General features: G+C 49.4%; 1 protein-coding gene across 3 annotated transcripts in view, besides 8 other annotated features; it reads left to right on the top strand.

Moving 5' to 3' along the window:
- Window positions 1-21,113, top strand: part of STK24 (serine/threonine kinase 24) — a 131,923-nt gene that overhangs the window by 99,492 nt on the left and 11,318 nt on the right. For all 3 annotated transcript variants that reach the window (NM_001286649.2, NM_001032296.4, NM_003576.5), the window contains 7 exons: window positions 2,258-2,366; window positions 2,638-2,795; window positions 11,055-11,240; window positions 13,780-13,925; window positions 15,719-15,842; window positions 17,176-17,244; window positions 20,312-20,448. In NM_001286649.2, the coding sequence (NP_001273578.1) occupies window positions 2,258-2,366; window positions 2,638-2,795; window positions 11,055-11,240; window positions 13,780-13,925; window positions 15,719-15,842; window positions 17,176-17,244; window positions 20,312-20,448 (929 nt within the window). The remainder of the gene's footprint in view (window positions 1-2,257; window positions 2,367-2,637; window positions 2,796-11,054; window positions 11,241-13,779; window positions 13,926-15,718; window positions 15,843-17,175; window positions 17,245-20,311; window positions 20,449-21,113) is intronic.
- Window positions 87-381: an enhancer, noted in NCBI's record as "tiled region #10916; HepG2 Activating DNase matched - State 8:EnhW". NCBI's record gives its function as "activates a minimal TATA promoter and a strong SV40 promoter by Sharpr-MPRA in HepG2 cells {active_cell/tissue: HepG2}" and the evidence as "EXISTENCE:reporter gene assay evidence [ECO:0000049][PMID:27701403]".
- Window positions 87-1,458: a biological region, named in NCBI's record as "P300/CBP strongly-dependent group 1 enhancer GRCh37_chr13:99128412-99129611".
- Window positions 259-1,458: an enhancer, noted in NCBI's record as "P300/CBP strongly-dependent group 1 enhancer chr13:99128412-99129611 (GRCh37/hg19 assembly coordinates)". NCBI's record gives its function as "activates an origin of replication core promoter dependent on BRD2, BRD4, P300/CBP, MED14 and CDK7 cofactors, with strong dependence on P300/CBP, by STARR-seq in HCT116 cells {active_cell/tissue: HCT116}" and the evidence as "EXISTENCE:reporter gene assay evidence [ECO:0000049][PMID:35650434]".
- Window positions 588-807: an enhancer, noted in NCBI's record as "active region_7903". NCBI's record gives its function as "activates an Ori minimal core promoter by ATAC-STARR-seq in GM12878 lymphoblastoid cells {active_cell/tissue: GM12878}" and the evidence as "EXISTENCE:reporter gene assay evidence [ECO:0000049][PMID:35858748]".
- Window positions 958-1,107: an enhancer, noted in NCBI's record as "active region_7902". NCBI's record gives its function as "activates an Ori minimal core promoter by ATAC-STARR-seq in GM12878 lymphoblastoid cells {active_cell/tissue: GM12878}" and the evidence as "EXISTENCE:reporter gene assay evidence [ECO:0000049][PMID:35858748]".
- Window positions 1,118-1,217: an enhancer, noted in NCBI's record as "active region_7901". NCBI's record gives its function as "activates an Ori minimal core promoter by ATAC-STARR-seq in GM12878 lymphoblastoid cells {active_cell/tissue: GM12878}" and the evidence as "EXISTENCE:reporter gene assay evidence [ECO:0000049][PMID:35858748]".
- Window positions 13,398-13,899: an enhancer, noted in NCBI's record as "H3K4me1 hESC enhancer chr13:99115971-99116472 (GRCh37/hg19 assembly coordinates)". NCBI's record gives its function as "activates a minimal SCP1, AML or CMV promoter by ChIP-STARR-seq in naive H9 embryonic stem cells {active_cell/tissue: H9 hESC(naive)}" and the evidence as "EXISTENCE:reporter gene assay evidence [ECO:0000049][PMID:30033119]".
- Window positions 18,887-19,181: a silencer, noted in NCBI's record as "tiled region #11628; HepG2 Repressive DNase matched - State 17:Gen3', and K562 Repressive non-DNase unmatched - State 16:ElonW". NCBI's record gives its function as "represses a minimal TATA promoter and a strong SV40 promoter by Sharpr-MPRA in HepG2 and K562 cells {active_cell/tissue: HepG2 | K562}" and the evidence as "EXISTENCE:reporter gene assay evidence [ECO:0000049][PMID:27701403]".

Genomic DNA, 21,113 nt, shown 5'->3' with positions numbered 1-21,113 from the left:
GCAACCTCTGCCTCCTGGGTTCAAGCGATTCTCCTGCCTCAGCCTCCCAAGTAGCTGGGATTACAAGCATGTGCCATCATGCCCGGCTAATTTTTCTGTGTTTTTAGTAGAGATGGGGTTTCACCATGTTGGCCAGGCTGGTCTCGAACTCCCGACCTCAAGGTGATCCACCCGCCTCGGCCTCCCAAAGTGCTGGGATTACAGGCATGAGCCACCGCGCCTGGCCTCTAACATGACTTTGATCTTTGGTCGACTGGATTCTCCTGCACTCCAGCATTATGAACAAAAGCAAACACTCCGGCATCTCTATCCTCCTCCCCACTGTCCACCCAGGTGATGAGAAAAGTCTGTGTTCCTCATTTTGAAAATTAAAATTTCTACATTCTATGAACACTGAAAAATAGATGTGGAGAAAGCTGACTTAAGGCATAGTTTTCCTGATTGTGTTCTTTAGAATAGTAGTTTTGATATGCATTTCTTATAAATAAGACTTTTGTTCAGGTAACTGGGAAAAAACTACTTTCTGGGGAACAGAGTCTGTGGCGTAATGCCTTAGTCTGAGGTAACTTTTGGACAATATCTTAATTGGAATTTGGGACAATTTCTGGCAGGCGATGGAGATGGGCATTTTGACCTTCTCTGAGCATATGTGTGCGGTCAAACTAAAAGCGACAAGTGCATTCTCTGCACCTGGGTCCTGGGTGGAGAAGGCCAGGGGTGGCTGGATTCCAGGTGTGTCTGCTGCCAGGCAGGCCAGAGTCCCAGCGAGGCCAGTGTGTGAGGAGAGGCCACCTCTGAGAGTGGCCCTGACCCTGGGATTGCTGTGTAGACCAGGGCAGGCCTGCGAGCCAAGGCAGCACAGCTCACCCATGGGCCGGAAAGCAGGGCCAGGTATGAGTCAGGCTGTGGTTTCGGTGACAAGGGCTGTCTCGGTTGCCCCCACACTGCACCCCACAAGTACTTCCGGATGTGGAACAGGATGTGAAGGAGCTGAGGCACGCAAGGACTGTCGGGCTCTGTCCCAGAGATGTGCACGCCTGAGTCGGATGCTTCCTGTGGAGGAGCGCCCTAGTTTTCATCCCCTTTGGCTTAAAGCACATTTCTTATCTTTTTAAAACTAAGTGAAAGGCCCCAGATTGTATCTTCCTGTTGGCTAAAATGTGTGGGTGTGGGCTGTGAAGACATTCACTGTCAAGTCTGAAAACCAAGAATGGGGGACCATGATTTGGGGGAACCCTACCTGCATCGATTAGACATCTGCCCTCTGTCTGGCTCCGTTTCTGTGGTTCCGGGGAGCACTGGTGGCTTTGCTGCTGTCATCTGTGGAATTACTGTTTGTGACTGACTGCCCCACTCTGCAGGGGGCGGGGGGGGGCTTCCCGTCTGGTTTGAAGTGAGCCTTTGTTAGCCTGGTTTTCCTTTCCTTTTAAATGGAGATGTGGATACCTGACATTTCTTCCTTTCATCTGATATAGTTGTGGATATAAAGGAGTCAATAGGAACAATTATTTTGAGTTTCTGAGAATAAAAGCTTTCAGAGGTAATTATTATCTTAGGGATAATATAATAGTTATTATTATTATATAATATCTATTATATAACAAATCCCAAACTATTAGGATTTAAGCTCTTTCAGCTGCATTCCCCCAAGTTGGGGAGCTTTAACTGCAGATTTAAAAAATTCTAATACAAGGATATCCTCAGAGGCGCCTGGCTCCTAGGCCTTCTTTCCTGGGTGTTTTTGGGTACCAGGGGTGAGCCTTCTGGTAAGGGAACCACATATGTTAGGACAGATCCTGGCTGCTCTGTCTCTTGGCTGTTCGTTTCCTGGAGTGAAATCCCCAGCCTGTACCCCGCCCCTGCCATGGCCAGAGGGGCACCCTGAGGTCAGCTGCAGGCGCAGGCCGGGTCGTGGGCTTCCTCATTGGCTCAGCCTGCGCCCCGCCCCTGCCATGGCCAGGGGGTCGCCCTGTGGTCAGCTGCAGGCGCAGGCGGGGCTGCGGGCTTCCTCATTGGCTCCTCTTTGCTTCTCTGCTGGCTTGGCTTCATTGAGCAAAGCCATTTTCTCGGGCCCTTTGTTTTTTTAAGGGTCCCTCAGTGGACTGTAATTGTTAGGGCAAAATCATGTGTTTTAAGTGAAGAAGATTTCAGGTTTTAATTACCCTTGTCCATTAACATGGATAGTGTTTCTGTTTTATCTCAAACTTTTCATAAGATAATCATTTAAGTAACTTTAAGAATTTTTTTCTCTTCTTAGTTAGAACCTGGCCCATTAGATGAAACCCAGATCGCTACTATATTAAGAGAAATACTGAAAGGACTCGATTATCTCCATTCGGAGAAGAAAATCCACAGAGACATTAAAGGTAAGAGGACATCCGTTTTCATTCCTTTGAAATACTGAAGGTGGTGGTGGGGTTGCCCTGAAGACTTCTCAAGGGAAGGTGCTGGCGCCCATTTGTCCTGCACGTTTGCCTTGCCTGGGCTGGGCTGGCTTTGAGGGGGTCTGACAAAAAGTGTAGCCCCGGTGCCTGTGCTCGGTGGGTTCGCCACCCAGCCAGGGAGAAGACGCGCTTGTGGCAGTGCACGGAGTTGTAAGTCCGCACCGCCCAGGGCCGCCTTGGCTTTCTTTTGCAGCGGCCAACGTCCTGCTGTCTGAGCATGGCGAGGTGAAGCTGGCGGACTTTGGCGTGGCTGGCCAGCTGACAGACACCCAGATCAAAAGGAACACCTTCGTGGGCACCCCATTCTGGATGGCACCCGAGGTCATCAAACAGTCGGCCTATGACTCGAAGGTGAGGGGAGGGTGAGGGCGGCGCCGTGCCTCACGAGGCCTGGAGGGCTCCCGCCTTTTGTTCTTTAGCCTGGTAGCTTTTCTAAGTTGGAACGAAGCTGGTACCTTGAGGTAGGTCATAAAGGTAATTCTTCAACCTTGGTTATGAACAGTTTTCTCCTCTGTCTCCTGCTGTATCATTTAATACCCTGTGCTGATCCAGCCCACCATGATCGAGGTTTTTAACTCAGGCTATGTTTGTTTGGTGGCAGCGGGGACACAGGATGGAGCGGGTTTGGAGGGGGGTGGGAGGAACTGAAGGGCCATGGTGGTGAGGGGTGGAGGCGTGTGCGGTTGCAGAGGGGCTCCACCTGCTGTCTGGGCACAGCTGGGGGTCGAAGTGCAAGTGCGTGGAATCGGCAACCTTGAAGGGGCCTGTAGAGAAAGGGGCTCCCACAAGAGAAAGGGAGTCCACGGAAGCGTGAGAATGGAGGAAGAACAGTGCTTTGAGTGACTGCTGCAGGGTCTTCCTATTATTTTTAGTTCTGAGGATTCTCGTTCCCAGCCTGTCCTTGTCAACATGTGATGAAACCCTAACCCTTTCTTCCCACTGTTTTTTACTTGTCCTGTGTTAGGGACACTCTCCTAATTTTTCTCATATTCTTTTTCTCTGTTGCCCTCCACTTTTGTGAACTCTGTTAGATGGGACAAAAAATCCCGGGACTTTGCCTCCTAGGGCTCTGGTTTAACTTCAGTTCGCACAGTCTGCTCTTCTTAGGACCCTGTACACAGTTAAAAGGCCACATGATCCACGGAGAATTGGCTTTCCTGGGCTCCAAGTTTCTGAGCAAACAAATACCTAACTCAGATATGCATATAGGCCGAACCTTGCTGCTGCTTTTAAACAGAAATCTTCCCAGTACCCAGTAAACTTCCCACCTTGTTAAACATAGTACAGGAAGCACCAGGTGACTTTCCCTGCAGACCCAGGTCACCGTTGCAAGCTATAGACTGTTAGAAAGCGTCCAGGTTGTAGCTCAAGTTGCAGGCGTACCTGGTTCCACCTTGGGAGGAGTGAGCCCGTCTCACTGTTGAGTGGTAGCGGTGGCTGTGACTTTTCTGAGCACTATGATGGCCTTGACAGCCTCTGGCTGGTGAGTGACTGATGGGTTCCCCCACCCCCCACATACCCACACAGCAGACCTGGCTGGTCTTGGGTGTGTGCCCTTGCCTGGGAGTGTCTCTACCCCACGTGGGAGGGACACTGCCTTGGCTGCTTCTCATCTGCAGTCACTTTGGCTGTTGACCCTTTTCCTGGGGTCATGTAATTTTGGGACTCGACCAGGAACTTACATGTTTAGTCCATTCTCTTTATTTTAAGCTGACCCCATTTATCAAAGTTCATCTGTGTAGATTTTGGCAAGGCTGAGACTAGAACCCATGTTTCTTAACTCATTGGATGACACCACCTCGATTATTCTCTTCTCATTCTTTGTAGTAAATTAGCTGATCTACCATGTGACTGAGGACTCTGATTTTAGATTTCCCTCTCTCCCTCCTTCCTTTCCCCTTTCCTTCCTCCCCTTCCTTCTCTCTTTCTCTCTCTTTCATTATTGTATTTATTTCATATTGATTCTTTCATTTAACCCATTCTGTGTAGGCACATTTTTCTGGATTCCAGTAATACTGGAGTAGACAAGAACAAAAGTCTCTTCTCCTGTATGTCTTAAATTCATATGGGGGAGACTGACAGTAAACAGGAAGAATTAACAGCACTTTAGGAGCAAGCGTGCTGTGTTGTAGTCACCATTTTCAGTGAGTTACCTGCCTTAGGTGACAAATATCCCTAGAGAGTGGCGGGGCAGAAGGCATGGGCACCTCAGTGTGCGGCCATTTCAGGGTTGGGCCCTGGCAGGATGGCGTTCTAGTTGAGATGCAAGCTGAGAGAGGTTTAAAAGAGTTTTGAAAGCATCAGTGCACAGCTTTAATTGGTGTTTTGAAAGAAAACTCCAGAATAAATAGAAGAATGTTTAAAGATTTAAAACTTACCCAAGGTCAAGAATGATGTGAACCCATAAGTCAAAGAGGTTGCCTGGTACCAAGCAAAATGAATGAATAGAGATGATTACATATGTCAGAACCTTTTCCAGAGGAAAAAAGTTGTATTACAAACTTATTAAAAAATTAAGTGCCTTCAAAGGAAGAAAATCAAGCTGGTGCCATTCATTCACAAATTTGTACTGAGCAACTGCACTGTGAATACAACTGTGATCACGACAGCACACTCCCTCCTCTCCTGAAGTAGAAGAAACAATAAATAAGCAGTTTCAGATCATGCAAAGTGCCGTGGAAAAAAGGAGACAGGGCCATGTGAAGATCTTCCGCTCTTGGTTGCACCATCACTGCTCACATGAGAACCTTTATTCGAGAGCTGTCCTGTCTGCCTGAGCCATCCGCACCCACCTTCCTTGAAGGGCAAGTCCTCCCTTCAGAGTTCCAGTTCCAACTCTGAACTGGAAATCATGAGCAAACTCTTATGTTGATGTGAAATTGACTTTCCAGGTTTGTGGACCCGGGAGGCGTGTGGTGAGGGCCGATGAGGGTCACGTCTGTGTCTGCGTCTCAAAGTTCTCAGAAGTGGGGTTTCACGCTGGGGCCTTAGGGCTGAGATTTCCTTTGTTTCCCACTGGGCGTGGCTCTGGACTGGCAGCTCTTGTCGCAAGCAGGGCCTGATAAGGGCGCTCTTCCTGGCTGCCCTGTGTGTGTCCCTCCAGTGGCTGGCTTGCCTGCCAGGCAGCCAGTGCTCTTCAGGGTACACTGGAGGCCGCTCTGGTCTCATGGCTCACTCAGCTGCTTCCCAGCTTTCCCTCCATTCTCTCTTGCATGACTTGTAGACATTTCCCCTCCTAGTCTGTGCACTGCAGGTAAGGAAAGACCTTCCAGCTATTGGGGACAGGGTTCTGTATGGTAGTTATGAAGGCACGTGCCCAAGTCACACCTAGGTTCACACGCAGATTGTCAAAGGAAGGGTGGGTTGGGAGAAGTGATGGACTTCACCTGCCTCACTAGCTTCTTCATCTCACTGAACTAAAGGGAATACAAACCTCCATTTCCTGTATATGTTTGGAACCTTTTTGAGCATTGTCACCTCTGGCAGTAGCTGTGCCCCCTTATCTTGTCTGGGCTGCTCAGGTGTTGCTGAATGTCTTTGCATACAAAGAGAATCTTATGTCAGTCTTAACCTAAGCATGACATTACTAAGTCCTGATTGCCCATATGTCGTAAGAACCTTCACTACTACTGTTTTAAGGTGATTTGGGGAAGTTTGGTTTGTTTGAAGGAGTCCCCATCCTTTGGAGATGGTGCTAAGGGAGATACCTCTGCTCACTGCGAAGAAGCCTCCGGTTTCAACACTAGAGAAAGGTCTTGGGCTGAAGAACTCTCATCTCCCTTTTTCCTTGTAAGATCATTACGATGGTATGTTAGCGAATGGATTGTGCTTGGTTTGAAGTGTAACCATGGTGAAAAGTGGAAACTGGTGATGCATTGATGGAAAAAAATAGCATTGTTGAAGATGAGTGAAAGCGTGGTGGGATGAGCCGATGGGCTGCCAGAACCCAGGCAGCCAGCCTGTCTACTGCACTGCGTACCAGCCCTTCCTGTCACTGGTCACTGAGCCCATGGACTCCCTGCTCCTGCCTACGGCTCAGGAATTGTCCACAGGCCTGGCTGGGAGGATGAGCCCTGAGGGCCAGGGAAGAATGTGAACCAGGAGACAGCAGGCTTTATTTTTGCATGAGTAATGTTGGGCCACTTTGGTCAACCTTGTGTTGCTCTTAATGGTCATAAACATCACATACGCCTCTAGATGCCAGTTACAAGTGTGTTCCTAATGATCGCATCTGCTTAAGTAATAAGCTTATATCAAATGAGATTTTGTTTTGATTGATTACAGCTGTGATTTAGGGTTATCCCTGGTTTTCTTCTTGATTATAGAGTTGGTTTCTTCTAGAATTATTTTCTCTATATAATTAAAATCACTTAAATTGTATCTTCAGATGTGTAGCTAGCGTACTTTATTTGACATGATATTGTGAAGATGTAGGATGCTGTTGCATAGATCCCCACATCTCCCAATGTTGAGGAGAGTCCAGAACCATCAGTAACAGAGAACTCAGGGTGGTCACTCAGGAGCATGCCCCAGGAGAAGATTCGTTCGCAGTTAATGTGTGCATTTGCAGCTTTTGACTGGAGCTTATATTAGAAACCACTGTTTGTTTTCTCTGTGAGCAGTGTCTTAATGTCTAATTTCATATCTTTCCCAAATGGGTCTCTCCTTCCACCTCATTTTAATTGCTTTGGAAGATGACTGCCTGCTCCCCACATAAAGTTTACTTTAAAACTCAGACATAGGCCAGGCACAGTGGCTCACGCCTATAATCCCAGCACTTTGGGAGTCCCTGGCGGGAGGACAGCTTGAGGCCAGGAGTTCAAGACCAACCTGGGCAACAAAGCAAGACCCCCCCTTGCCCCCCCGACTCCCACCTCTACAAAGAATTTAAAAATTAGCTGGGCATGGTGATATGCCCTATAGTCCCAGCTATCCAGGAGGCTGAGGTGGGAGGATGGCTTGAACCTGGGTGACAGAGTGAGTCCCCTCCCTGCCAAAAGACACAAAAAAACCTCAGACACAAGTTCTTGATCTGCTGTCATTTTTCCTAGAAGCAGTAATAGACAAACTCAATTATATTTATGAGTTTCCCTATCAACACATTGTTGAGTACATCCTACTTCATTAAGTTAATGTGCCATAGCAACTTAATCATTCTTCTGAGGTTGAACATAAGTAATGCTGCTGTTGAATATTTTGGGCAGCCCATACCATTTTCCAAATTTAAAATGTAGTAGAGATGCCTAGGAATCGAAGTAATTGGTTTTAACAAGTTTGGATATTTTTGTGGCTTTCGATTTGTATGCCAAATTGCTTGCCATTGATTCACATGCCAGTCCAGGATTCCAAATTACTCATAGTTAGATGTCTGGTGGGAGAGCCAGCAGGCAGGAAGACCACTTGGGAGCCCCCTACAGAAGTCCTGGGGAGAAGAGATCCCTTTAGACTAATCCAAAGTTAGGAGGGGTAGAGGGGACGCAGGGTGCTGAGAGCCCAGGAACCATACACCCTGGGTTGCAGCTGGATTTAGGAGGGTCCAAAGAGGGGATCCTAAGGAGCTGGGTGACCCTCGTGTCCCTGGCATGGCTACCTAGTAGGATGTCCTCCCCCCGCCGCCTTTTTTTTTTGGGGGGGGGGATGCAGGGTCTTGCTCTGTCACCCAGACTTATGATCTCGCTCACTGCAACTTCTTCCTCCCAGGTTCAAATGATTCTCCTGCCTCAGCCTCCCAAGTAGCTGGAACTACAGGTGCAGCCCACCATGCCCGGCTGATTTTTGTATTTTTAGTAGAGATGGGGTTTCGCCATGTTGGCCGGGCTGGTCTCGAACTCCTGGCTTCAAGTGATCTGCCTGCGTCGGCCTCCCAAAGTGGTGGGATTACAGGCGTGAGCCACCGCGCCTGGCCCCCATGTTTGTTCTTGATGGTGCTGTACTGGCTGCCCTCCTTGGAAGCCAGGAGACTGATACGTGGGTTGCGTTCAGATGGGGCCAGCAGGGGTTTTCTCAGTGAACTTCCCGTGGTGCACACTGCGTGCAGAAGCAGGCGTTCGCAAGCAGGCGTTCGGCCGCCTGCTTATTATCTGTCCCTGAACCTGAAAGCAAGTCCTCGGGCCTCTGAGTAAAATCAAGGCAAGCGCATCACCGACGTACTCTCAGCAGAGATCGGCTTCTGCCAGGGCCTGCCTGCCAGTCACCGAGTGTGTTTAGCTGGTTGAGAGGTGCTTGGAGGTCTGGAGGTGCATCCGTCAGAGATCATGTTCAGTAGCACAATAGGGTGACCGTAGTTAATAATTTGTTGTGTTTCAAATAGCCAGAAGAGAAGATTTGGAATATCCCAGCACAAAGGAATGAGCCGTGTTTGAGGTGAGGGGGATCCCAGCTACCCGGATTTGATTGTTACACACTGTATACTTGTACCAGAAAAAATTCATATAACTATTATGTACCCTTACAAATGAGAAGGCTCTGGGTCTGTGTGGCCAGGAGACAGCATGCTTTGAAAACAGCAGTAGCTGTAATGAAATCTGAGAGGCCTGGGGGAAGCAGACAGATGTGGAATCACACAAACTTGAGAGCCACCTGTTGGTGTGGAGAACCGCTGCCACACAAGAGTCACAATTGCCACCTCTGTTCTTGCCTCTCCCCTCCTCGGTCCTCCCTCCTTGTGCCTGCTCACTCCTGTCCTCCTGTCGCTGCCACAGTTCTGGGTGCTTGCCCACCCTGTGCTCCCATGCACCTGCTTCCCTGCTCCTAGGGGCAAGAGACTGGGATCAGTTGCATTTCTGCTGATTTTTAAGATAATGCAATGCAAGATAAAGCAGAGTCCAAGTTGTAGAGGGAAGGAAAATAGTATTACTTCCAACGTCAGCTCTTCTAGACTGACCCCTTCAGTACAAGATTTAGTAGAAAGAATTTAGAACAAGACTTGCTGGCAGCTTTTCATCTTCACTGAGAATAAGGAAATAGAATATGCCGTAGGCATCATTCCCATGGACTGCTGGGCTTGGGGGCTTCCAGTAGGGATTTCTGGTACTCACTAAGGCTGCAGGAACATGGTAAGTGTATCCTCTGGATAGTTAAAGCACCCTGCAGCCACAACGATGCTTCCGCCTATGCATTTCCTTGCTGTAGAGTGAGTGTGAGAGATGTATTCGATTCTCACTGAAGTTCTTGGAATAATGATGGATTCCAGTGCACAGTGAGAACAGCAGGAAAGCTGTACCAGACTCAGGCGTGTTCTCTACCCCAGTCCCCATTCGTCTTTCGCCAGCCCATATAGGACTATGTCCTGCCTCATTGTCGGCCTCTGTCCTGTTTGGGGATTGGTGTCACATGCTGTCAATGTCTCATCAGCTGTCAAGTTCCTCTTAGGATGGCCTGGCTCTTCTCATTGACATGACACATTCAAGGAATTCATTCCTTTGCCTAACTGCTTGGTTGTGCCACAGGCCTGTGCTGGGCAGAAGGAGGTGGGGCAGCTGGACCTGAGATGTCCTAGTGGGGCCACACGGCTTCTGCAGATGTCTCCTCTGGGACATTCGGCAGAAAATGCAGACACTAGAGAGACACAGTAAATGACATCAGCAAGAAACCACCAGACAAATCCCGAATTTGGGACCTGTTTCTTTAAGTTGATGTCCCTGGGGAGACTGGGGACAGGACTGTTGTAGGTTGAAAGAGCCTTAGCGACCTGGCAGTCAGTTGTACCCCGTGGACTTTGGATCCTGATTCAGATAAACCAACCATGGAATGACAGTTTTTGAACAGCTGAGAACATTTAATTATACATGACATTAAGGAATTCGTGTTAATTTCAGGCACTGATAGGTAGTAAAAAGTCTGTATATTGGCACACGGAAATACTCGGGGGAAAATGTCATGATGACTGATTGATTTTAAAATATACTCGGGGAACACATGGACAAAGCTCGTATGGCAAAATGTTAATTAGTAAATTCATGCAATAGGTAGATGAGGATGCATTATATTAATATTTCTCAGTTCTTTGTATGTTTGAACATTTTCATAATAAACTTTTTTAAGTTCTGGGCCCCTGGTAAGGCACCTTACATGGCCACCTCCTCCTCTTCCACCTCCATTCTACAGATGAGAGAAACAGGGCTCAGAGGTTAGCTCTTTCATCTAACGTCACAGGACTTTGACTGTAGAACTGGCATTTCAACCCAGGTATCTTGAGACCAAGGTGCCCACTCTCGACCTCAGAGCTGTGCCCTAAGTTCTAAGCACTGCTGGAGGGGGTGACTCGCGAGCGTACACCCACTCCGGACTCCTCCTCTCTGCTCACCTCTCTTACTGGTCCTGCTGGCCCCCGGGACTCCACGGGGAATGCCGAATGCATCCAGCAGGAGGCGTAGTAGGAGTGAATTGATAAGCCATCTCCATGTAGAGGCAGAAAACATTTGGCATATTACAGTTTCTCCTGTTGTCTCTTTTGAAATTACAGCGAGGGCTTATGTTTTTAAATATCAGTTAAAAATACCTTTTTCAAAACCTCAGAAGTATTGAGACATGTTACCATTTTCCCCCTAAATACTGTGTATTGGAATAGATTCCTGCTTGGTGTTTGTAAAGATGCTTTTCTTGTTGCAGGCAGACATCTGGTCCCTGGGCATAACAGCTATTGAACTTGCAAGAGGGGAACCACCTCATTCCGAGCTGCACCCCATGAAAGTTTTATTCCTCATTCCAAAGAACAACCCACCGACGTTGGAAGGAAACTACAGTAAACCCCTCAAGGAGTTTGTGGAGGCCTGTTTGAATAAGGAGCCGAGCTTTGTAAGTTTCCCAGGGATCACAGCGTACCTCTTCATGTGCGGCTTGACTTGGTTGAGATACATCCTGTTGGGATTGCTTTAATCACTCTTTTCAGCTGTCTTCCTGGTATTATTCATTTTTCTTTTTCTAAGTAAGTATGATTGACTTCTTTGGTTTGCAAATACATTTTAATTTTTAAGTATTAAAAATCTCCTTATTTTCTTTTAGATTTCTGCCATCTCATACTTCATTGAATCTGAAGAATATTCTCCTTAATATTAAATGTGGAATCATAAATGTTTAATATTTATAGAAGATCAGGCCATAAACTGTTACACTGTTTTTAATAATGGCAAAGGTTAGCTGGAAACAAATGGCTAAATATGTCTTTAAAGTAAATGTTTTCACTTTCCAGGTGGCATGTGTTAGGAAACAAAAGATTAGAAAATATAACCAAGCCACCCTCTGTGCTTCTTCCCCTCCCCTTCCTGCCTACTTTCTCTTTTTAGGTTTAATAGACTCTGGCAGAGCCATACAGCAGTAACGACTGTGTGGCTTTGCCTCATTTTCTGTCTGAATTAGGACATTTCTTTGAAAGTAGTGTGTGTGTGTTGGTGTTGGAGGTAGCACCATATGTCCTTGTTTTGTTTCTGAGTTTTCCAGCAGAGTTAGCTGAAGGCTAAGCTGAGCCCCCCTTTTCTTAACTCTTATGTAAAAATGGGTGGTTACTTTTACAAGAGCACCATGGTTTCCTAATATGCCAGTTCTGGTAAAGGAATTAAATGGGTAATGCAACATTTTCTAAGTACGTCTAAGGAGATGCAGGCTGAGACCACCACACCAGTGTTTGATGACTACATCAGCATCGGGTGGTGGTGGGGCTTGTCCTGCATGCCACGATGCTCTGCATTTTATTACACGATGATGTTTCTTGCAGCCATCATGCACCAGCACCAGTGGAGATGTGTGCAGGCATGTCTTCCCATACAAAGCATGTGTCCTGTATGGGCTTATGCCCCAGCACACAGAGCTCCACCCCACAGCTACCGAGGAGCTGGCTGAGAGGCGAGAATATGAGCACCTCCGGGGTAGTTGGGGTTTCACCCTTGGATGGACAGGGAGGGAGAATACTTGAGGTGATCCACGTTTCTCATGAGTTTGAATCTGAAAACATGCTTGGCTCTTGTAATCAAGCTTTTGTAATTTGGAGTGAGTGGGAACTTGGTTCGACTCGGTGTTTGGGTGTTCCTGCTGTCTGTTCCCATTTGGGCCATGCTGGTTTCCTTGGGAAGCACATTCCCTGTCACTATCGCCATCCTCAAGGCAGGCAGCTGACCAGGTGCTGCTTGCGGTGGCCATGCTGAGCCCAGGGCATGGGTGAAGTCCTCAGCCCAATCACAAGGGAAGGGAGGGAGGGACCTGGGAAATAGCCCTTCTAAACCGGGAAAGTTGGTGGTGAAGCGCATCCAGTTGCTCTTTCAGCAGACAGGAAAAAGGGGATCTCCTGGCTCCTTTCCAGTTTCTCTGAGATAATTCCAAATTGACATTTCTATTATATGGTTGGATGTGGCCAAACGTTAATACAGAAAGTTAACAAAGCAGCCCAGCATGGTGGCTCACATCTGTAATCCCAGCACTTTGGGAGGCCGAGGCAGGTGCATCACCTGAGGTCAGGAGTTCAAGACCAGCCTGGCTAACATGGTGAAATCCCGTTTCTACTAAAAATACAAAAAATTAGCCTGGTGTGGTGGTGCAGGCCTGTAATCCCAGCTACCCAGGAGGCTGAGGCAGGAGAATCGTTTGAACTGGGGAGGCGAGGTTGTAGTGAGCCGAAATCGTGCCACTGCACTCCAGCCTGGGCAACAAGAGCAAAACTGTCTCAAAAAAAAAAAAAAAAAAAAGTTAAACAACACAGAACATATATTTTGTCAGCATTTGTCATAAAGTATTTTATAAACTAGGAGATAAGCTTTTTTTTGAGACAGAGTCTTGCTCTGTCGCCCAGGCTGGAGTGCAGTGGCGCGATCTCGGCTCCCTGCAAGCTCCGCCTCCTGGGTTCACGCCATTCTCCTGCCTCAGCCTCCTGAGTAGCTGGGACTACAGGCGCCCACCACCACGCCCGGCTAAATTTTTTTGTATTTTTAGTAAAGACGGGGTTTCACCATGTTAGCCAGGGTGGTCTCGATCTCCTGACCTCGTGATCTGCCCGCCTCGGCCTCCGAAAGTGCTGGGATTACAGGCGTGAGCCACTGCGCCCGACCAGATCATTTAAGCTCTCTTAAATGATCCCTGTGAAGCTCTGTGCAGAGTTTTCTGTGAAAATGTATTTATTAGGGACATCCTTGGAAAGACAGTGCCCTGCCCACCATAGCACCCAGAGCCCAGGCGTAGGTCCTGAGCGACTCGTCTTTGGGTGAGTTGCAGTGAGAAGCGCTGTGGAGTAGAGAGTCCAGCCATCAGGTGTCAGTGTGGCGGTTGACATTTTGAGGCAGAAGTCTGTCCTTTGGGGTAGGACCAAGAACTTCATCTCATACTTTAATTGTTGGGTGTGTTTTTCCAGAGACCCACTGCTAAGGAGTTATTGAAGCACAAGTTTATACTACGCAATGCAAAGAAAACTTCCTACTTGACCGAGCTCATCGACAGGTACAAGAGATGGAAGGCCGAGCAGAGCCATGACGACTCGAGCTCCGAGGATTCCGACGCGTAAGTCGGCCCCTGAGTGACCCAAGCATGTGTGTGGGAGGGATCCGCTGGTCTTTGTCACTGTTTGGTGTGGGTTTCGTTTTCTGTTGAGTTTTTTTTTTTTTTTAGACAATCCAGGTTGGTGGCAATTGTTGTGTTAGACACAGCCTGGGCCTGTTTGGGAGTTGTTTAGCCTCTTGACGTTGCTGGTGGAGTTTCTGCGAGTGAACTCTTGTGGTAGAGCTGTGCATGGGGAACTGGACCTGGCTGTTTCATTCTGTTTTGTTTCGTTCTGTTCTGTTCTGTTTTCCATTAAACTTCCTGTTTGTAAAACCCTGATCAGGTGAAACTGCTTTACATGGATGTCTGAAAGGCCAGAAATGCATGTGTTTGTGATTCTGTATTGTGTCTGGTAGAAGCTTCTGTACCAGGAGTGGCTTACTGAGAATTGCTGTCAAGTTTGGCATCTAGGAATTCCCTTGGCTTAAGAGGCGGAGTGGGGCTGGAGCCATTTGTGTGGGGAGGGCTGGGGGAGGTGGTCGGGCAGACTTGTGTCTGGAAGTCCGAGCGTGGGACTCGTCTGTTCTCGTGCATGCCTTGGCAGAAGTTAAAGTTGGCCCACAGTGCAGGTCCATGTGCCAGGCCAGTTGAATGAGGATTTCCGGGGATGAGACCCTAAGTGGTTTTTCAGGGTCTCTAGGTGATTCCAGTTTAAAGCCAAGGTTGAGACCACTGCCCCCGGAAGTTCTTGAGGTACTGCCATTGGGAGATTGCTGGGGTAGCAACAGGGATGACAAGAGAAAGAGACTGGAGAGAGGTTTGGAGAGCCAGGACGCGGCGGTGGATTTGGGTGAAGGAGGGAAGCCAATGTTCCAGGCTGGGGCAGCGTGGCACCAGGTGTTGTGATGTGTGGTGCGGGAAGCCGAGTGTGGGGTGAACCGTGTGTGAGTCTGAGTTGTCCAGGAGAGACGTCCAGTGTGAAGTGGCACCGAGGTGTGGAGTTCAGGTGAGAAAGCTGGGCAGGTGAAGCGGGCTTAGGGGCCACTGCTCTGTGGAGGTCACTTGAGCCGAGAGAAAAAAGGGTGTCAGTTGGGGCATGTGGGGGAGTGAGGCTGGCCCCTAGGTGTGAGGGTGAGGCTCCGCCTGTGAGTGAGAGGGGAGAGGTATGGCCGAGGGGCGGGAGGAGGTGCAGGCTTAATGGGGCCACAGGCATCAGGGGATGATCAGCAGGGCCTGGGGCTCATTGCCTCTGAGGCCCATACAGGACAGGGAGTGATCAGCACACCATCATCTCATGATGGGGGAGGGAGCGCTCGGAGGGACACGGGTGGGCTTTGGAGCGAGTGGAGGGTACCAAATAGAGGCAGTGAGTGTGAATCCCAGAACCAGGGCTGAGAGATGGCCAAGGTGAGGCCAAAGTGTTGGAATGACAGGCATGAGCCACCACACCCAACACAGGGACATCTGCTTCCCTGGTGAGAGGAGGAGCCCAGCAGAGAGAAGCTGATGTCCCAGAGATGGGCTCCCAGGGAGGTGGGGGAGGTGTTCTCCGGGAGGAGGAGGAGGGTGGGCATGCACACACTGGCACGCCAGGGAGTTGTGGAACCACCTCCCGATGGTCTCTTCTCTGTGAGGGAGGAGGCGGGGGGGTCTTTGGGAAATCCCAGAGGGACTGGACAAGGGTGTGATGGGTGGGGACTTGGGGCTGGTGGGTGTGGGTTTAGAGGTCCCCAGGCGGCCTCCCCCTGAACGTCCCAGCGCCCCCAGAGCAGGTGTGCGAGCACTGATGGGATTTCCTGCATTTCTGTGTTAAGGGAAACAGATGGCCAAGCCTCGGGGGGCAGTGATTCTGGGGACTGGATCTTCACAATCCGAGAAAAAGATCCCAAGAATCTCGAGAATGGAGCTCTTCAGCCATCGGACTTGGACAGAAATAAGGTACGTCTGCTCACTCCAGAATGGCCACGCTGACCTCAGTCTGCAGTGTTTTGGAGGCACTTGTGTGTGAAGCTTGCTGTGGGTGCGGCTGGGGTCCTTTGTGGCAGCTGTCCTGGAATTTTGTTGCTAGGGGATGGGCAGATGAAGAGCTTTAGTTCTGTCTGATGATCCAGGTGTTCACACCAGGGAGTCTGGCCTCTGGTCTGTTTTGTGCCACTCTATTCTGCTCTCTGCAGCCCTGCTGTTGAGTTAGGATGTCCCGATGTGGCAATGTCATGGGGTTTGGGGGTGACCCGTGAAATGACTTCATAGCTCTGAGGGACTGTTGTGCATGTTGCGGTTACTTACATACATATCATAATTTTGTGACTGAGTTTTAAGGACCTTATAAGTAAATGCATTGCTTTTGATATTTATGTAAAACAATTTTGATTAATTGGTTTTATGCCTGTTAAATTTATGAAAGGCCATATATTTAGGGTCTTGTAAAGCATAGTGGTGTAGTTTCTTTCAGGCAGGGTGGGCCAGTGGCTGTCCCCTGTTGATCCTACAAGTCCCGCTTTGATAAGTGAACAGGTGTTAAATGTCCAAATAGAGGTTGCAAAAGTAGAAACTCGGTCTCTGTCCTAGACAGCCATTGGAATGGCCAATCTTGACCTGATTTCTATTTCCAGGGTTTCATTAGTAAAGTACTTTTCTCTCTCTCTCTCTCTCTCTCTTTTTTTTTTTTGAGACGGGGTCTCTGTTGCCCAGGCTGGAGTGCAGTGGTGCCATCAGAGCTCACTGTAGCCTCAAACTCCTGGGCTCAAGTGATCCTCCCACCTCAGCCTCCTGAGTAACTGGGATTGCAGGCATGTGACATCACGCCCAGTTTATTTAAAACTTTTTTTTTTTTTAATAGAAACATGGTCTCACTATGTTGCCCAAGCTGGTCTCGAACTCTTGGGCTCAAGTGATCCTCCTGCTTCGGCTTCCCAAAGTGTTGGAATGACAGGCATGAGCCACCACGCCCAACCAGTAAAGCACTTCTGCGTAGATAGCAAGACGAGGCAGTTCACCGCCTGTGCCCACACAGAGTCCCCTTCCACATGGAACCCAGATGCTGGTTTCCCCGGTGCGTGGGTTTTGCATGTCACTGCAGATGAAACTTTGAAGTCTAGTGAGAGGCAGCCGATAGTCTCCTTCAGATGTTATGGTGCGCAGAGGGTGTTTCCTCAGCGTGAAGTGTAGAGGCAACTCCTGCGCTTCCATAGTCCAGGTGGGAGGTTTATTAAATTATTGCCAATGTGAACGTCAACTGTTTCTGATGACCTTTTTTTCCCTCTCCCCCAAGATGAAAGACATCCCGAAGAGGCCTTTCTCTCAGTGTTTATCTACAATTATTTCTCCTCTGTTTGCAGAGGTAGGTACCTGGCTGGCCTTTTCGGAGTGGGAGGGGAGGGGGAAGGAGAAGCTGGACACACTTCAGTGGTGATGTTGCCAGTTAAGAGTTGGGGACATTAAGACAAGCTGGCAAAGGCTCGGAAAGCCTGCATGGTGCCTTCCCAAAGGCTGTCAGCACCACCTTGCGCCTCCCCTGTCCTGGGTGATGCCCACTCCGCCGCAGCCTGGAATGTGTAGACTGGATGACAGTGACCCAGCCCGAGACCCTGTGTCACCCGTTGCCCTGCTTTTTAGCAAATCTCATTGTGTACAGCCTGCTCTCTTTGCCTCAGACCAATTTCTGGCCATGTGAAAAGTAGATTCTTTCTTCTAAGGAGACGTTGGATGCCCTGGAGTCCTCCGGTTTCCCCTGAGCCACATGTTTCACTGAAGTCCCTCCTCTGCTCAGCAGTGCTGTGCTCCCAGCTGGGCCTCCCCACGCCCACTCCCTGCTCAGCCTCTCCCTCCCAGAGGAAAGTGCTCCCGTGGCCGTGTTTTGAGAGATTTTCAAAAGTAGGCTTTATAAGAATGAAGATTGTTCTGCATCTGGTTAGTAGCGGATTTGAAAATAAGTTGGAAGTCCCCTCTTTTCTTGTTGTGCCCCTTCCTGGCTGAGGCTGCCTTTGAGGTACTCACTGTGGGCCACACACGCATCTGTTTGCGTGGGGATCTTCCCTCTTTGGGCAGTTTTCCACTGCGGCTGTGTTTAGGGGTCCTGGTCCTTGAAGGGGAGGTGCTCAGGAGAGGAAGTGTCATAGGAGCTCATTCTCCTCCCCTGTGCCTGCGTCACGCAGCGGGGGACCCCCGGCCATGGGCCGTGCCTGGCCAGCCACGGTCCTGCCAGTGCCTCTTCCCAGCCCTCCAATAAGCCTTCACCTGTTGCCCTGCCCAGCAGGTGCCCTGGAGGGTTTGTCTGAGGGCCTCTGACCTGGCAAGTTCAGGGCCCGGTGGGAGCAGGGCTGTGGCCAGAGCCCGAGGCCTCACCTGCAGCTTCAAGTGGGAAGTAGCCGAGCCCGCTGGTGTCGGGGAAGCCACAGGGCACGCGGAGGCCCTGCTGGATGATGTCTGGCTTCAGCCCTGGCTCATGGTTCTGGGCACCTGTGTTCTTCCTAACTAGGATGTCCGGGTTGAGCGCCATCCTGCGCTTCATTTTGTCCCATGGGAGTTGGCCCCGTGGGATTTCCAGGCTGTGCTCCTGCGGCCCTGCCATTGGCCGCTGGAATAGGGTCAGTCAGGCAGTTAGGGAAAGTGCATGGACTTTTTCATTCTCCTGAGGCTGTTTATTTTTTTACTGGGCCCATGAAGCAACTTTGACATAATTATTCAGGACATATCCTAAACGCCGTCATATCCTGGATTTTCCAGGTAACCAATTGCTAAACTCACAGGCATCTTTCCCAATGTATTTTTAAGAATGATATTTGCTACCCTAGAGTTCAGAGTGTTTATTGTGTATTATTTCATACAATACTTGTAGAAGCCCAGTAGAAGGATTATATCCCCATGCTTACAGATGAGGACATTGAGGAGACGGGTGTTGGCGTCCCTGCTTTCCTTCAGGGAGCACAGGTCAGGTTGCTCCCTGAAGTCAGTGATGGGTCCAGCACGTTCCACACGGCAAGGGGACAGGCCCTCTCCCAGGGCGGCCCTTCTGCCGCCTTTGCTCCTTCTTTGAGACTTAGGGGCGGGGCATGGGCAGGAGGGAGAGTGCTGGATTGTAGCTGACCCTCTCGGGACTTGTAAATACTGTCAAGTGATTGGGAGTCCTAGACAAACACGAGTGGCCGCCTCGGGGCCGGCGGCGTGGCCCTGTGACAGCAAGAACTTCAGGAACAAATGCTCTCTACACCCACTGGCCCTCCAAGGTCAGACCCTTCTAGTTCCTGCCTGCCCCTTCAGTAGCGAAGAGAGAAGCCGTTGCTCTTAGGGCAGGGCTGGGTTTGGAAATGACAGCATGTGTTCAACAACCTGAAAACCAAGCTGAATGTCGCCTGAGATGTTTCTTTCTTCCCTGAAGAGGAGGCGGTGTCCATCACAAAGAGCCTCTTCTGTTGAGTTCTGAGCCATGCTGTATCTTGACTTGAACAGCTCTTATTTTCACAGTTCACGTTTTTGGGCCTCCAGAGAGAGACTTGGAGTTGACCTTCAACTGAGGGAAGTGTCTGAAGGCACTGTTGTGATTTCTCTTGGGAGTAGAGGTGCCAGGAAGAACACTGGAGATTCCCAGAATTTAAGGCTGCCACTTATTTACATGAAATCAAATATTTTGACTCTACTCTGGATCACAAAGGCAGTTTGCTGGAGTTTAAGAACCAACCCATTAACATTAGGAAGTAAGCAGTGTTGAGATCAGAATAACTTAGGATAGGCTTTGAAATTGCTTTTCTGGTACAAGGTTATGGTTGAAATAGGAAAACAGCACAGAGAGGACAGTCCATCACGGTGAGACTTGGGAAAGGCACACAGAGAGCTAGTCGTCTCTGTTCTGGCCTCGAACAGTAATGATTATGGTCTGATGATTGCCCTGTGTATACATAACTGCTCTCAGAGCATTTGAATCACCTTTCTTCAAAAGGAACCCGGGCCGGGCACAGTGGCTCACGCCTGTAATCCCAACACTTTGAGAGGCCGAGGCGGGCGGATCACTTGAGGTCAGGAGTTCAAGACCAGCCTGGCCAACATGGTGAAATCCTGTCTCTATTAAAAATACAAAAACTAGCTGGGCATGGAGGCAGGGGCCTGTAATCCCAGCTACTCGGGAGGCTGAGGCAGGAGAATCGCTGGAACCCAGGAGGCGGAGGTTGCAGTGAGCTGAGATCACGCCACTGTACTCCAGCCTGAGCAACAAAGCCAGACTCCGTCTCACAAAAAAAAAAAAAAAAAAAAGCAATTTGAAGTGGCCTGGAGCCCTAGCCAAAGCTTTTCCCGGACACCCTGGGGCTGGGGTAGTGTCGTGGTCCACACGCCGTGTTGTTCCTTGAACAGCATGCTTCCCAGTTTTGCAGCTGGTGTGCTTCATGCCATTCTTCCTGTTCGTGTGTTTTCAGTTGAAGGAGAAGAGCCAGGCGTGCGGAGGGAACTTGGGGTCCATTGAAGAGCTGCGAGGGGCCATCTACCTAGCGGAGGAGGCGTGCCCTGGCATCTCCGACACCATGGTGGCCCAGCTCGTGCAGCGGCTCCAGAGGTAACTACCCAGGGCCCCTCTGGGCTGGGGAAGGAGAGACCTGCACTTGGGCTGGGACTTAGTTGATGAGTTTGGTACTTGATTCTTGGCCTGTCTGTTCCTGTTATCTTGCAGGCCTCAGGGTAGACAGAGTTGAATTAGAGGAGACTTTGTTCTGAATTCTAGAAATCAATGTGAATGAAGGATCTGAATCTGGAAACTACTGGAAAGCCCACAGGACTTAGTGCATTTGTAGCTTTTGCCACATAAATACAGGGTGGTGGTGAAATACCTGTTTCCTCTTAATTATGCAGCTTAATTATTGGCCAGAGAATGATCGTTCTTAGCCAGATGTGTGTAACTATCTATCTGGTTTTCGGCTTTAAAGTCAAGTGTGAGAAATGACAGCAGCTTTGGTGTGGTCAACTCAGCGGGAGCGGGCGCAGGTGTGTTCCCTGTGTTAGCTGTGTGTGTCATGTCTGGAAGCCTCCTTGGTAGGGGTTCATCTGTGCCAGCCTGTAGGGAGCTTTTGTCCCTGCCCAGTGGCCCCACCTGTTGAATGCACTATGGGTGAGGACTCAGTGGGGTGACAGTTTTGCCCTCCCTGCCCCCTCCCAACTTGTTGTAGGAGTATCCATGGGAACCAAGCCCCTCCTGACTGCCATCTGGCACAAGTGCAGGCGTTT

This window comes from Homo sapiens, chromosome 13 (assembly GCF_000001405.40).
Source record: "Homo sapiens chromosome 13, GRCh38.p14 Primary Assembly".
In the NCBI taxonomy this organism is placed as follows: domain Eukaryota; kingdom Metazoa; phylum Chordata; class Mammalia; order Primates; family Hominidae; genus Homo; species Homo sapiens.
This window is presented reverse-complemented; position numbering and strand designations above follow the sequence as displayed.